This window comes from Homo sapiens, chromosome 13 (assembly GCF_000001405.40).
Source record: "Homo sapiens chromosome 13, GRCh38.p14 Primary Assembly".
NCBI classification, from domain to species: Eukaryota; Metazoa; Chordata; class Mammalia; order Primates; family Hominidae; genus Homo; species Homo sapiens.
The window spans coordinates 45,784,934-45,800,039 of record NC_000013.11 but is presented as its reverse complement, the minus strand read 5'-3'; the positions used below and the strand labels follow the sequence as shown (position 1 = coordinate 45,800,039).

The 15,106-nt window shown below is 45.1% G+C and overlaps 1 protein-coding gene across 1 annotated transcript in view; it reads left to right on the top strand.

Moving 5' to 3' along the window:
• SIAH3 (siah E3 ubiquitin protein ligase family member 3) overlaps positions 1-15,106 on the top strand; it is a 74,512-nt gene that overhangs the window by 51,714 nt on the left and 7,692 nt on the right. The gene's annotated exons all lie outside the window — the stretch shown is intronic.

Here is a 15,106-nt window from a genome sequence, read left to right as displayed (position 1 = left end):
AAATTAAGTTTAAAAACAATATGTCATCAACCCATAGTTATCTGTGCTAGAAAGAGAAAAAGAGAACAGTGATGTGGATCATCTAGAAGATGGGAAAAATCACCCATGCTTGACTTTGGAATATGTTACATACATTTTCCCCCCAGAAGATTTATCTTCCTAATTATGCTTTGCTCTTTACTTAATATTAGGATTAGTTCTAACTCCCTGAGCTCCCCTGCTAACTAAATGAGCAAGCTGGTTGGCAGGGAAAAGTCAGCTTGGAATGAAATGAAATATGAGCTGCAGATAATACACATGGGGATAATTGAGTGCTGGCTGCTTGCAGGGAGAGGAGCGGGAAGCCTGGGGCACAGTGCCCACACTCTGCAGCCAGAATCCAGAGCATCAAAGCCCAGCTCCACTACCACCAACCCCCAGGCCTTGGGAAAGACCATCCTCCATCCTGAGCTCCAGTGTCCCTGGGTACAAACTACTTGTGATAATGATACCCACCTCCTGGAGGCCACACGAGGATTAAGTGAGATGAGGCATGTGATGTGCTTAGAACAGACACTCAGCAGGTGTCAGCCAGGACCATTCCGTATTTCAAGCATGCCCTTCCATGATTTGCATCCATATGATACTTTCTTCTAAATGGATTGCACCATTTAAAACACATTTTAACGCATTCCTCCTATTATCCAGGAAGGAGGCAGATATCATCGTTCTTATTCTATAGACATGGAAATTAAGGTCTGAAAAAAGTGAAAGGAACTATCCTTGGTCATATAAGGAGTGGAAGACCTGGACCCATATCTCCATTCTCCATGCACCTTCATGCCATGTGCCCCTGCCCCAACCCCATCCGCCTCTTTATGCCTCAATTCCCGATCTTAGTCAATGCAGGGAAATTGAAGTTTCATCCTGTAGGCCTGTCTATAAAGACTTGTGAAGATTACCCAGGGAATTACTGTTAAGTGCTTGGCCAGGATCTAGTGCTGTGGAAACACAGAGTTCTGGCAGTGGGGAGGAATTGAAGAGGCCCTGGTTCATTTGGACTACTTGTCGTGAGGCTGGTACATTAGTAGATCTGGGATGGAGGACTTGTCATTTCTGTGTTTTACAGAGGAAGGCTTTAGTGCCATCACCAATTTGTTTTCCAGAAGAATTAGTCACCAATATTAGAATCATGGAAGAAGATAAGACAATTTGCACTTGGACCAGTTTAAAGATAAACTTTGGTACATCATAATTTTTCAAAATGTATTTGTGCAAACAGCAATTCCTGAATCAGGAAGCTCCAAACCAGAAGTGGTTCAGGGATCTGCCGGAAGTGACTGCAGGGGAGAGCTTCTATAGGGCCAGTGCCGAAGTGAGCAAAGCCATGATTAGACTGGTTACAGTTAGAGCACTGCCTCATCTGGACGGTTCTAATGGGAAGTTCAAGACAACTTAACTAAATACCAGTTGGCTGCATGTGATTGGTCATCTAAATTACCTCCCATTTGATTATATTAAAAGACCTCTCCAAGATACTGGACAGGATACCATCCTGAACGTTCCCCTACAAATCCTGCCCTGACTCCCAGAAGCAATTCCTCCCCCTACTAGAAAAGTAAGCTCTCTGAGGATAGGGACCACATGTGATCTGCTCACCATTTTATACCCATCATCTCCCACAGCACATGGTGAGTGATGAATTTATATTCGTTGCGTGATTGATTGAATGAATGGATTCACTATGTAACAGCAGAATGGTATGGAAATCAATGGGCCCTGCTGAAAAGCATGATATTTATTGGTTTATGTATTACTATTTAAAACTAAAAAGAGGAAGCTGCTTCTAAATTCTGAACATGAAAACCCAATTAAACTAAATAGTAAGGAATTACGAGTAGCCATAAAAATGGAGAATTTATTAATTAAAGCGAAGCTCTCCCTTAACAAATGAATTTAAATACTGTTAAAAGAAAGAAGATAAACTTCCCATTTTCTGCTTAAGAATTTCCTCGCAGCTCTGCTTCCCCTCTGCCCCCAGTGAAGTCCTATGTTACCAAGCTGTCTGCAAGGGGACACTGCATGACTAACAAATCAAGGCATTCCCTCCCTGGAATAGGGCAGCCCTATCACCGCCATCATGAAAGTAACCATGGACCCTGCAGGGACTTGTTAAGGAATCAGAGTGTTAGAAAGAGATGTCTGAGGTTATTAAGAATATGCTATTTGATTCCTAAAGGGATGTTAGGGCTTTTGTGAAGGAAGAAGGATGCCCGGCATGATGGCAGTGGGCAAGGACGAGTGGGTCTAACTGCTTGCCCTTCACAGTGAGGTCTGTGACCCAGCAGCTCTGACATCCTTGAGAGCTGGTTAGAAATGCAGAATCTCAGCCCCATGCCAGACCTGCTGTATCAGAGTGTGCATTTTAACAAGATGCCCAGGTGATTTGTGTGCACCCTGCACAGTGTTTGAGGATTGCTGGTCTAACCCTCTCTCCGCAGACTCATGAATGGAGAGTTTTGCGGCTTGGGTAGCTGCAAGGGAAGTTGTGAGAGATTTCTACAAGGGCAGGACAGAAAATCAAGTGCTTTGGATCCGTTGAAGCTGTGCATGTACCTTCCCTTCTACAACATCCCCTTAGAGGATGGGGAAATGCAGACAGAGAGGAAGAAAGTCCAGCCTTCAGGATGATCCTAGAGGTCACCCAAGCGGCAGGCATTATGCAGGCTGGAGCAATCCTGGCCTGGGAGAAGGCTGAGCTAGAGCCTGGGGACTTAATCTCCTTCCCCTTGGGCTAATTGGAGAGCATGGCACTCTTGTAGAAAGTGAGCACCTTCCAATGGGGGAAATATGAACAAAATAGGACCAACGTTGAAATGTAGTCATGGTGAATTGTGTTAAAAAAAAAAAAAAACCTGCATAGAGACGATTTGAATTGCGTTGAAGTAGATTAGGCTAATTATCTTAGCAGACACTAATAAACTTGTTCCTTAGAGATACTCAGTGACTATAATAACCCAAAGATGAATATTGGATGAACGAATTATTAGGGACTGGCCAGCCTGCCAGCCTCCCAAGCCCTGGGGGCAGGAATTCTCCCTTCTGCCTTCCCATCCCTGCCCCCCAAGCCTAAGATTTTTATTAAATATGTACCCAGCTACTGGCAAAGATTTAGAGTCAATAAAACACCTGCCCCCACCTCGCTTAAGGGGATTTACTTGGAGCTGTCAGCAGCTTTCTGTGGCTGCTCCGTCCCTCAGCTCGGTGTGAGGAGAGCCACATTGCAGAGAGGAGGAGCCATTCATTCAGTGAGGCATTTACACAAAGTCAGGGTGCACCTCCTGTGACACTACAACCAGGCCATAGCACAAGTGTTGGTCCTTAGCCGCCAAGTCTAATCTCAGAGAGGAGCTTTCTGCCTCTAGGAGCAAAGGGCAAGGCCTGTGCCACTCCAGGCATGGTGTGAACACCTTCAGCAACTTATCTACTGTGTTTCTAGGCCCTGCGTCTCCCTGGGAGTGTCAGCCATGACTCTGCCTTTCTAAGCCAGGGAGCTCATGCTCCCTGAGCCCGTCCCTGATCTGACTCTCATCCCCATCCTCCAATCCCCCTAGCTACTGGTATCGCAGGCAACCTGATGCAACCAGACCTACAGACAGGCCAAATGAACAAGTGAAATAATGAAAGAAAAGACCCCCTAGGGTTCTTGAGCGCCTCCCCCCCGCCCATGAAATATGTCCATTTAACAGTGACCTGAAGACAATGGCCACATACATCCGTTCTCTGTCTCTCTCTCTCTTTCTTCCATTCTATTTTGTTTTTTGATGTATAGCATGCAGTGAAGTACACAGATCTCAAGTCTAGTCCTCAATGAATTTTTACACACATATATATATATAAAATCACATATCCATAGAGCCACCACCCATCCAGACCACGAGTTATATTTCCAGCCCTCAGGGGCTCCCTCGGGTCCCACCAAGTCAATATGTCCACACACAAAGATAACCACTGTTCAAGCCTCTGTCACTATAGATCAATTTTATATGTTTTTGAACTTCAAACAAAATTCTTAAACATGTACTCTTCTGTGTCTAGCTTTTTTAAAAATTCAACATGTTTTTGAGATCTATCCATGTTGTTGGGTATAGCAGTAGCTCATTCTTTTTTTATAGTTGCATGATATTCCATTATGTAGATATATCACAATTTACTCATTAGAAGAACATTTAGGTGATTTTTAGATTTTGGCTATTATGAATTAGTGCTGCTGTAAACATTCGTGTGCAGGTTTTCTGATCACATAATGCTCATATTTGTCAGGTATTGATTATAACTGTGAAGAGGCTCAGATCTTACCCCACTACTAACAAGCTCAAAAGGTGACCTGCCACAGTTTCATGGATGCTGGTAGAAGACACGAGACTCCTGGGTCAGAGATGAAGGGGTGCAAAGTGTCAGCTTGTGCCAGGCAGCTAGCCCTGACAGGCTAGTAACTCAAGACACAAATTTACAAGCAGTATACTCTTTATGTGACCATGCCAAGCTGTCAGAGGAGTTTGTCTTAATAAACAGGCCCCAGTCTATACGGAGGCATTTGTTATCTCAACCTCTGTTGCCTGCTGAGTGCTGGGAAACTCTCATACAAGTATCACCTACCTGGTGTCACAGATTAGCAGGTCTGTGACTGGAGGCATCACACATGGTGCCATGAGGAATGTGGGTGACTGAGATGCTGTTCACATAAACATCATCCTTAAATGCTTGTGGCAACAAGGGTCTCTGGGTTTCTTTGTGTATCTCTGGGAGTGAGCTTCTTGGATCATGGGGCTCACATCTTCTGTACCCACTCTGGGAATACCATAGTGTTTTCAATGGAAAAATTACCTCTGGATCTCTCCATGAAAGGTTTATTGGTTTGAGTCATGTTTGGAATAAATAAATTAGCTATATTTAAAAGGAAGATTTTTAAAGATGAGCTCTCATTCTAAACAACTACTGGTTATCTATGGAAAGATCAAAATAAGTTTTTTTAAAAAAGGAGAGATAAAATGAAATATAATGACTAATCTTAGAAACTTACTTGGCAAGATTTAAAAAAAAAAAAAGGTCCTAGTGAGAATTGCTAGAAGGCCTTAAGGGAAACGTGGAAGGACATTAGTGTTTTTATGATTTAATCTTATTCATACATGATCCTAGAAATTATGGAGAGTGCATTTCCTTAGCTTACACCTCAGTCAGCTAGATGTGTGTATTAGTTCATTCTCTCGCTGCTAATAAAGACACACCTGAGACTGGGTAATTTATAAAGAAAAAGAGGCTTAATGGACTCAGTTTCACATGACTGGGGAGGCCTCACAATCAAGGCAGAAGTGAAGGAGGAGCAAAGGCACGTCTTACATGGTGGCAGGCAAGAGAGTGTGTGGAGGGGAACTGCCCTTTATAAAACCATCAGCTCTCATAAGACTTATTCGCTATCAAAAGAATAGCACAGGAAAAACCCGTCCCCATGATTCAGTTACCTCCCACCGGGTCCCTCCCACAACACATGGGGATTATGGGAGCTACAATTCAAGATGAGATGTGGGTGGGGACACAGCCAAACCACATCACTGTGCAATAATGATGATGATGATAATGATAATAACATCTACCACTTATGCCTTCTTGCTCTGGACTAAGCACTATACAACGTCCTTTGTATCTCTGGTATTAGCACATGGGTATGGAGTTGATAATCATCCTGGGAAGGACCTATAGGCTACATCCATGTGTGTGTAGACTCAGTGTTTCCTGATAGTGAGGCCATTCCCAGTCTACAGTGCCTGTAGTCCCAGCTACTCAGGAGGCTGAGGCAGGAGAATCACTTGAACCCAGGAGGTGGAGGTTGCAGTGAGCCAAGATCACACCACTGTACTCCAGCCTGGGTGACAGAGTAAGACTCCATCTCAAAAAAAAAAAAAAGTGTCAGGAGGGCCACACAGCTTCTGAAGGTGCTAGGGAAGAATTCCTCCTTGCTTCTTCCAGTTCCAGTGGGTCCAGGTGTTCCTTGGCTTGCAGCCACATCACTCCAATCTCTACCTCCATCTTCACATGGCCTTCTCTGCATCCGTGTCTTCTCCTCATATGTCTTTTCTAAGAACACTGTCCTTGGATTTAGGGCCCAGCTGGACAATACAGAATGATCTCATCTCAAGGTCTTTAACTTAGTTACATCTACAAAGACAATTTTCGCAAGTAAGATCACATTCACAGGTTCTGGGGATTAGGATGTGAACACATCTTTTGGGGGCAGTCTTCTAACCTATCATAACTAGTTAGAAGGCTATTGTGTAGCCCAGAGAGGCAATGAGGGTGACTGCTGTCAGATGAAGAGAAGCGGTTGAATTGTGTTAGGGTAACAGGTCAATGGGGAGGAGTTATTTATTCATCCTCTCCCCACATACTTCCCGGGTACCTACCATGTTCCAATCACTGTGCTGACACTTCGGATACAGTGGGGAAGAAATACAGTACTCACCCACCTGGAGCCTTTGTTGTGGTCTAGCAGGAAGACTAGATGTTGAATAAGTTTGTTGCATGTTATAAGGGAGCATGCAACATACAGACCTGTCCTAGTTAGAATAAGGAACCCCTGAAGGATGAACACAACTTAATCTGGGGATAGAAAACAGAGGAGGCAGAGAGTACTGTGGAGTTCCTGGTCATGACATTTTTGAAGAACTCAGAGAAACAAGGATGGCATGTGGCCTGGAGGCATCAGATTGTCTCAGGCCACCCAGGACACACCTCTGCCCATTTGTAACCTCCTAACACCTCTGCTTCTGCAGTTTGCATTTGCATGTGTAACCAGTTCCAGCAACCTGCCTCCTCTCAAAGGTTATGGCACTGACTCCAGCCACAACGGTGTGAACAACACTGTTGCTCACAATCTGAGGTTATCCGAGGTGGCGGGACAATCTCTGGACATGGTGTCCAGTCACTGCTGTGGTTCTAAAGTCATCCTAAAGAAAGGCTCATAGTTAATGTGGCTTTGGGTAATTAAAAAGGTTAATCTTTAAACTGTTCACTCAGGCCCCAGGTTTCACTTGCCAATTACGGATATGAAAGTCTAACTACACAAAAAGTCGCCTTGAAGAAAAAGTCTTTCATCTACAAGATTGATTAGACTCATTAGCACACTCAAAACCCCGCAGATGAAAAGCAGAGCCAAAGAATAGAGACAGGGCAGCATTCCTGTATGTGGTTTGACTACAAGTCTGCCTCTAAGATTTGCAAGACAGGAGGCAAAAGTACACGTGGTGGTCCACATACTGTCTATATAAATGCTCAAAAAGAAAAAAACAAGGTATGAGACTCTCAAAATACATTCTGTCCTCCTACCTTAATAATTATACCTTCATGGCCAGACACAGTGGCTCGTGCCTATAATCATAGCACTTTAGGAGGCCAAGGCTGGCAGATCACTTGAGGCCAGTAGTTCGAGACCAGCCCGGCCAACATGGTGAAATCCCGTCTCTACTAAAAATACAAAACTTAGCAGGGCATGATGGCACCTGTCTGTAATCCCAGCTACTTGGGAGGCTGAGGCAGGAGAATTGCATGAACCCAGGAGGCGAAGGTTGCAATGAGCCAAGATTACGCCATTGCACTCCAGCCTGGGGGATAAGAGTGAAACTCCATCTCAAAAAAAAAAAAAATTTATACCTTCATAATGAGTCACATGGTGGCAGCTCCCTGGTAGCAACCTGTCTCACTTTCTTCCTAACCCAGCTTCATCCTGGGCTTTGATGAGTCTCTTACAAAGGCAAGCTAACACCCGAGCCCACACATTCAAGCTCTGCTTATACCCCAACCCCTGAAATAGTCACCCATTGGCCATACCTCACATCTAATGGTCTGCCTTCCAGAAGATGGATCCCAGAAAGAGCACGGGCTGCAGGAAGCTGACTTAGAGACACTGGGTAGGGAATTCCAGCATCGCACTTATGCAGAGTGTGGTCTAGAGGGTGGGCTCTGGGGTTCTGTGTGGGTACAACCCTTTAGCTCCTCATCTCATGGGTAGGGACAGCTGGAGGAGCTATGGTAATCTTTGATTGGGTTAAAGTTACCTCCTGGTGATTGTTAACAGAAAATGGATAAGGAAGTGAGACAGCACTTCCTTTTTAGCTCAGGGGTCCTGCCAAGGTGCAGGAGGGGAACATTGGCCTAGAGCAATCTGGGAGGTGGCCAGACTGATTTGCTGAGTTAACCCAGCAGACTGTCCTTCCCAAATTGGGAGAAGCAATTCATTACTGAAAAAGAGAATGCCTGAAGCATCAAGTAATCTCAGTAAAAAGCAAAAGCAAAGCAAGTACCTCTCTGGCAGGAGAAATTTCTTCTTCAAAGCTTTTATCATACTTCTCACACTGGCAGCTGGGCACGTGTCAGTACCCTCCTCTTGGTCAGGGTCAAATGTGACTTCTGTGTTCCATCACTGTTGGGTTCTGGGTGAGGAGCTGCCAGGGCACCTTCCTGAGGAGCTCACAGCCGTGGACACTTGGCCACACACACACACACCATATTTCTATAGCACCTGAGATGGAAGGGTAGAGGACAGAGCCTCTGACTGAAGACAAACAGCCTTTCCATTGATGTGGTCCAAAACAGGGATCTGTTTATGAATCATTCATTCATTCATTCATTCAAGCAGCATATATTAAAAGTAATGGCAAAGACCACAATTACTTTTGCACTAACCCAACATTTATTGAGAGTCTACTACATGTCAGACACAGCAAGTCCATCACTGCACTAAACACTGAGCAAACTTAACCTCTGCCCTCAATGACTTCCAACCTAGTTGAGGAGAAAAGGCTACCAATTAGTGATTTTCTTTTTTTCTTTTTTTTTTTCTTTGAGACAGGGTCTCACTCCATGCTCAGGCTGGAGTGCAGTGGCATGATCTCAGCTCACTGCAGCCTCAACCTTCTGGGCTAACCTGATCCGCCCACCTCAGTCTCTGAGTAGCTGGGACCACAGCTGCCTGGCTAATTTTTGTATTTTTTGTAGAGACGAGGTCATGTTGCTCAGGCTGATCTCAAATTCCTGGGCTCAAGTGATCCGCCCATCTCAGCCTCCCAAAGTGCTAGGAGTACAGACATGAGCCTCTGCACCTGGCCATAACTAGTGATTTTTCAATGCAAGTTGAAATAAGTAGTGAGTTGTGCAGACAGATCTTAACTGCTGCTTAACTACTTCACAAGTCAGGTAGGGAGGCAGCATTCCTGTCTTACGGCAGCTGATTGTCTCAGACAATGCCAGGTGGGACAGTGGCTGGCACACCTGAATGGTATAAAGGACAGAACCAGTGTGATCTTCATATTGGAAGCTGTTACTAATGCATCGATCTGTGCTATGAATATATGGCAAGCATACATTGCATGTCGGGCACTGTACTAGCAGTAAGGACACACGAACAATTAGTCCCTGTCCTGAAGGCACTCAGCAAGCAGGAAAATATTCATGGATAAATCAGCTAACGCTTGTCAGCCAAGGATAAGGATCTGGAAACTAAAGGGTCCTGGGATCTCTGAGATGTATTTTTTTTTTCAGTGTCATCCACTTATTCCTTCCCTTGTGGCTGGCAAATATGTTTATAAGAAGACCGGCTTGGTCAGGAGGCTTTTGAGATCATAGGACTGGTGTCTATGAAGACATCTATATGGACCCTTTTCATTATTTTGCACCCATAGATCTTGGTTTGAAACAGTTTTGTTCACAAAGTTGTCATCTTTTCAAAGTCACAGCCTATTAGCCTCTTTTCTAGCTAAACAATGGCATAGATAGGTCAAGACTCAAGGCTTCTGTGTGTACTAACCAATCTCTCCACACTCAAGTTGCATAATTTTGATCACCAGTAAAGAAAATTTGTATGCAGTGGTATTTCAGAGGCAAGATTCCAATACAGTTAAGAAGTGGCATCAGAGCACCAGAAGTCCTGACTTAGCAGCTGGACACAAGGATATTTAGGGAACCAGCTTTCAAGACCCATTCATAAAGTGAGAAATCTCTCTGCACTATTTTAACTAATCTTTACAGCTCGAAAACCACTCATTTCCTCAACTAGAGCCCATTTCTAGCATCTATTATGCTGATTAACAAACTACTAATTTCACCAACCAAAACATTTGTGGAAGTGTTAACTAGCAGCATCTGACGTGAATCTGAAATATGGGTACTAATTGAGGCCATTGTAGTCATTAGCTCAGGTATGGACTTTTCCAATACAGTGTTAGGTGATTACCTTGATGTTTGAATTCCTGATTCAGGAATTGACAGGCCCTAGAGTATAGTTTAAAAATACATATGTTTAGGCCAGGTGTGGTGGCTTATGCCTGTAATCCCAACACTTTGTGAAGTTGAGGCAGGCAGATCACTTGAAGTCAGGACTTCAAGAGCAGCCCGGCCAACATGGTGAAACCCCGTCCCTACTAAAAATACAAAAATTAGCCAGGTATGGTAGCAGGCGCCTGTAGTCCCAGCTACTCAGGAAACTGAGACAGGAGAATCACTTGAACCTAGGAGGTGGAGGTTGCAGTGAGCCGAGATCACGTCGCTGCATTCCAGCCTGGGTGACAGAGTGAGACTCTGTCTCAACATATAGATAGATAGATAGATAGATAGATAGATAGATAGATAGATAGATAGATAGATAGATAGATGATAGATACACAGATAGATTTATATCACATTCCGTATACTAAAGTATTTTAAAGGAAATTGCAGACATGCTCATACTGTCCACATGAAGATCTCATCCATCTACGTAGCAAGAGCTGAATCTGATATGGAGGAGAAGGAGCATAAGATACATTTTCTAATTAAGATGTTCCTATCCCAGGTGGTAAAAGCCTTACTGTTGTTTTCTCTCTTGGCTTAACTTATTTCTTACCTGTTTGGAAGCATCTAGAGTCCTTCTGAGTTTTGTGTGCAGGGCACAGTCCTGGAGCGGTCAGTTCTTCTCCCCTCCTAGCAGACCTGACTCCCAACTTGGCTCAGACCTAGACTTTACCTCAGTACTCTGATGCCTGCCCAGAAATGTTACCCTACCCTCCACCTCAACCTGCTCATTCTCCCTTTGTGTGAAATGCATCGATAGCATTGCTGCCTTCCCCACTTCACCTAGGACTAAAAACTTCAGTTAATTAATATTCACAAATGAGGGCATGAGCAAACTCGAAGCAAGGGCCTGCCATATAAAATTGGGTACAAAATCCTCTTTCAGCTAAAATGCATGGCACTGTTCCTGGAAGTAAGTGGAAAGGAAAAGCAATCCTCTAAGTGAGCTTGGTGACCACAGGGAGCAGAGGCCAGAGAAAGGGTCATGTAGTATTTCCAGAGGCAGGTTTCCCCTTCAGAAGCCAGGATTTGGAGGGCCATTACCAACCATGGGAGTGTGGCTGATCAAATTAAGGAATGTTTTTTAAATTCAATTACACCCTCAGCGGAAATGGCCTCACTAATGCTTAGAGAAAGTATTATCCCCAGCCTATAAAGCCTAACATTGCTAAACCCAATTTTGCGCATTATTCTAAAGGTTAATTCAAGATCTCTCTTCCAAATGGGAAGTTAAACACAGCCAATGGAAGGAAGGCATCCACTGACTGACTGAGGGGTTTATCAGTCTGTAAGAGTTCATTAGGTTTAATTAGTGTAATCACTAATGTTGCATTAACAGTTTAGTGAAGGAAAGTAATTACTCACACATCCACTGTATTAGATGGGAAGATTGGAATTCATTTTCTGAAACGATTAGCATTTTGCCAATTAAAAGAATCCCTTCTCCCTGCCAGCAGCCCTGTGACCTCACTCACCCAAGGATCATTTAAATGAAATATATTTTGCATCAGAAGATGGAGCAGGAAGAAATAAAAAATTAAGGTTGTGTTTATTCTGAGCACCATCCCAGGGCACAGCAAGTACACAGGTCTCAATGAGTGTATCACGTCCCACTCTATTTGCATAGTTATTCACTTCAGGCTCTTTGGATTATACCCTTGGCTGCTTTGTAACACAGCAGCAATTAAAAAACAAAAAGGCTAGTGGAAGATGAAGCCACAAGGAAGCATTGGGAGAGTCTAGGGGGAAATGACCGTTGCTGGGGTCTGCTGGTTGGACAAGGGTTGGGTCTTGCTGCTGGCCCCATTCTGAGCACCAGCTTAGAGCAGGCTGTGCTGCTGGGCGTAGGGGGCATTGTGCTACCCACAGTAGCTCCCTAAAGCACATAGCTGGGTCTCTTGGATATTCCTGCTAATATCCACCGTGCACTGGGTGCCATCTCAGAGCCTCAGCTTGGCTTACAAGGCCTGGGCAATATGACCCGACATCTCCTCTCCATCTCCACCAGATTCCCTCTCAGCCACTTGGAACTTCTTGTCACTTCTTGAACATCCATGTTCTTTCATACCCAGCTCCTTCAAACCTGCTCTTTTCCCTGTCAGCAGGTCCTTTGCCTTTTCTGCTAGAGAATTCACCCTTCACGCTTCAATTAGTTTAAATGTCACCTCACACTGGCTAGAATAGCTACCTCCCCCACTTGGTGCTCTCAGAGCCCCTGGTGTACCCTGCATTTTTGCATTGCTTTCACACAATCATAGTGAGCTAGTGAGGCAGGATAGGAACAAGGAGCTTATTCTGTTCAGTATTCTCAGCCCCTTGCACAAGATGGGTGGTGTGTACGTGTATGCTGAATGGCTTAATGAACTACGGGCATCTTTCTCTCTCCCCCTGCCATAAGCCCCATCAAAACTTAGCCCAGGAGCCCCAGCCTGTTCAAATCAGCATCATCACATAGAAGGAATGGAGACATTTGCATGCAGGTGCAAATATCTCCATTCACCCGTCTTCACCCATCCACCTGACCTAGCACCACTTTCAAAGGGAGCCATCTTTGCTGAGTGCACCTGCTGGACTCCCTTTGCTGGTAGGTTTCTGCTTGGGTTTCACCAATGGAAGGCACTGGCAGAGATTGGAGAGAGGAAGAGCCAGGTATTTCTTCTCACTCCCTCCCTGCTACTTTGACCTCCCATCTCTGACATTAGCTGTACAGGTCAGGACAGAGAAGATGGAAAATGGATCTGGGGAAGAATATGGAGAAATTGGAAAGAATAGGGGAAAGCCCAGAGGTCACTTCTGAATGGGGATTTCAGGACATTCTATCTGTCCTCACAGGTCAGCACTGGGACTGGTGGCCCCAGGCCAAGTGTGAGGCTGGGTTCTCCAGGTTTTATGGTGGCCTGCACTCAGCCCAGATTGCTGCTCGTGTGTGAAAGTGACTTGATCAGAATGGAGACAGGCAGGCACAGACTGCAGTGGAAGGCTGCCAAGTCTTCACCCAAAACCACATCTAAATGGAAATGCCCTCTCGAGGTAACACTTGATAAAGTTTGTAACGCCGTTTTACAGACATTCTCTCATTTGATCTCCTAACATGCCCTTGAGATAAATATTTTGCCAATGAGAGAACTGACTGAACACGTAAACAGTGAAACAGATTAGAGTCTTTCGACCTCCAGCCTGTGAACTTCCTAGTCTATGATCTGTCACCATTAACTGATCTGGGCCCCATTCCCAGCTGCAGCCCTTAGGAGCTGTGTGACTTTGGCAAGTGACTCAATCTCTCTGTGTCTCTGTTTCTTCATTTATAAGACAAACATAAAATGTTTCTCTCCTGATTGTTGTAAAGACTGGTAGAGAGGGGCCTTCTCAGAGACTGGAAGAGGGACACCATTTGGGTTTTTCATGAGAGCCCAAGACTGGGTCCTCTTGAGTATAGGAGAAGAAGTTGCCTGCCTACCGGCCCTGCAGACAGTGGGAAGGTCCATGGGAGGGTCCTGACCCTGGCTGATGGAAGGTGTGGGCCCTGGGCTTCCTGCATGATCCCAGGAGAGGGGAGAAACCCCCCCGACCAAATCACTAAATGGTCCATGCCACCAGCAGGCAGGTGGGGACAAAGCCAGATTTTTATTTTTTAATAAGGAAATTGATCTTTTCTGTGAAAAATTAAATGAAATAATTATTTTAAAAATACCTCCTTTCCATAGCAGCTGACACTTAGTAGATGCTACATACTAGTTAGTTTCCTTCCCCATACTTAACACTGAGGGATAAGTCAGACTCATCACTAGCAGGATTTTGGAACACAGCTTGTTCCTTCATAGCTGAAGACACACTGTTCACCTTGGGGAAGGGGAACCAGGTGGGGTTGCAGGATGGAGGACAGCAGACTGCCCAGCAGCTACCATCCAGGGGCAGGACAGGCGCTACTGGAAGAGCCCCTGTAGATCACACTTCTGGGGGAAGAATGAGGAAACCAGCAGATGGAACTAACAACTGGAGAGGAGAGCTGATCTGGCCCCTACCTCCTCCAGGTCACCTCCATCACTCGGGTGACAATCCCAGTGCACCATGTGTGCACATGTATGTGTCATGAGCGTGTGTGTATGCATGCATGTGTATTGCGTGCATGACTGTGCATGTATGTACATGTATGTGTGTCCTGAATGCCCTAAAGAAAGGAAGCTAGCTGGCTCACTATTAGCCACAGGAAGTCAGGGGAGATAGATAGAAACTCTGGCAGCAACAGTGGCTGGTGACCTTCACCCCTGCCCTCTGTACTTTGGGAATGAACTGAAGCAGGGTGAGGAGGCAAGTGCCCAAAGGCATCTGAAGTCCAGAAAGCATTTGGAGAGCTAGGGCAGAAGGGACACTCCCTACCTGAGGACAGCCTAGGAAATGGCTGCAAGGTGAGCGACTCATGCCTGGAGCGCACTGCAGAGCTGCCACCTCCCCTGTGTGACCTAGACCATGCAGGCTAATTACGGAAAAGAAGGAGTCAGGAAACGGAGGAGGGAGCTGAAGGCAGGAATCACTGGATGGGGGTGTGCTCTTGTGTTCAGAGTCAGGGGGCGTGAAGATGAATCCCAGTCTTTCACTTACCAGTTTTGCAGGCTCCATCACGTTATTACTGAAGCCTGTTTCTTCAACTGAAAAATATGAATCACAGTCTTCATGACACATGGAGGACCTTTGTCAAAACTGTAATTAATTATAAGTGTAGTAATGTCTGTGCCACCCACACCAAAAG